General features: G+C 41.2%; 1 annotated feature.

The window, feature by feature from the left end:
- Positions 314-1,513: an enhancer, noted in NCBI's record as "CDK7 strongly-dependent group 2 enhancer chr2:117885600-117886799 (GRCh37/hg19 assembly coordinates)". NCBI's record gives its function as "activates an origin of replication core promoter dependent on BRD2, BRD4, P300/CBP, MED14 and CDK7 cofactors, with strong dependence on CDK7, by STARR-seq in HCT116 cells {active_cell/tissue: HCT116}" and the evidence as "EXISTENCE:reporter gene assay evidence [ECO:0000049][PMID:35650434]".

Genomic DNA, 1,727 nt, shown 5'->3' with positions numbered 1-1,727 from the left:
TGACTTAGATCATGTGAATGGAGAATTAAGAAATTTACTACTATAGGGACAGGAAGGGGGTGATCACTTTCCTCCCATGGCAAAGGATCACATTTAGCACCCTTATAACAAAAGATAGGTTAAAAAAAAAGGAAAGCATAACAAAGTAATTACATGCAAATATGTGCACTGGAGTCACACAAAATATAAAAACTAAAAGAAAGGGCCAGCCAGTGACTCAGGAGGCTGAGGCAGAAGGATTGCTTGAGGTCAGGAGTTGGAGACCAGCCTGGGCAAAATAACGAGACCTTGTCTCAAAGAAGAAGAAAAACAAGAAGAAGAAAGAAGAAAGAAGAGAGAAGAGAGAAGGAAGAAGGAAGAAGATAGAAGATAGAAGAGAGAAGACGGAAGAGGGAAGAAGAAAGAAGAAAGAAGAAAGAAAGAGAAGGAGAAGAAGGAAGAAAAGGAAAAGAAAAGAAAGAGGCCAGATGAGGTCAGTGTTTAAATACTTCTTCAAGGAAGAGAGGAAAAGGGGAGGGGGTAATTGTAGGAGTATGTAGGAGTAAATAATTTTCAGGGGAAATTAATGTACCTTCTAGACAGAAATCAACTTGTAACTGCTGCTCTTGTGAAGGTGAGGGGGTTCTTTCTGAAGGTGTCGAGCTTAAGGTTTTTCAAGGACAGCAGATAGGCAAGGAACTAGAGAATAGGTGCTGCTGACTGGGTGAAGATGCAATCATGTTGTGCAGAAAACAGTTTTCATTTGCTTGAGTCCACCTCTGGGAGGGGGCACACAGAACCAGCTGAATCATGAGTCATGCATCTGGCTGTGGTCAGTCACTTGCCAGAGTGCAAAAGTCTGAAAAATATATCAAAAGACCAATCTTAGGTTATACAGTAGTGACGTTATCTACAGGAGTAATTCAGGAAGTTACAAATCTTGTGATCTCCAGAACAAAGGGGGTTATTATTTAACTATGTTTACATCTTAGAGTTCAGGCCTCTCTCTAATCTCAACCTTGTGGCCCCTTATTAGCTTTACATGGGGAATTTAGTTTGGGGATGGGCCATTATAATCCTTGCTTTAAGATTAAGCTGTAAACTAACTTCTTTCCAAAGTTATCTTGGCCCGTACCCAGGAATGACCAAGGACAGTTTGGAGGTTAGAAGCAAGATGAAGTCAACTATGTCATATTTCTCTTACAGCCATAATTTTGCAAACATAGCTTCAAGTCCTTTCAATTTTCAAAGCACTCAGCAGGCTGAAGTGCCATATTTTGGAAATCATTTTCTGTGCCCCAGTACTGTGCCATGAAGAATATCATCTTGTAATCAGTCCTCTCTTATCAATAATGTTGGGCAGTGTAATCAAGCAGAGGAGGTTGCAACGACTTAGTGTTTCTGGCCACTCTTAGTTCCACATAGCATACATGCTTATTTGAGAGCTAGGGGTCTCCTGCAAAGGAATACAGGTAAAAGAGTAAGATGACCTCTCATCAGAGGTTGTGGGCAGACAGCCATACCAGAAGACAAGATAAAGGGTGGTCCAGGAGCAAGCACCTCTTGAAGCTAAGTTGAGGTGAAGTTAACAAGGGAGCAACCCAAAACTGTTACCAAAGCCTAGCAAGACCAGTTTATGAGTTAAGCTGGCTGCAGATTTCTTTGCCTATGTCAGTAAGGCATGCAGTAACCATAGTGATATGAAAGACACATTCTTCTGGAAATCCAAGGATTACTACAAGTTCTGG

Source organism: Homo sapiens, chromosome 2 (genome assembly GCF_000001405.40).
Source record: "Homo sapiens chromosome 2, GRCh38.p14 Primary Assembly".
NCBI classification, from domain to species: domain Eukaryota; kingdom Metazoa; phylum Chordata; class Mammalia; order Primates; family Hominidae; genus Homo; species Homo sapiens.
This window is presented reverse-complemented; position numbering and strand designations above follow the sequence as displayed.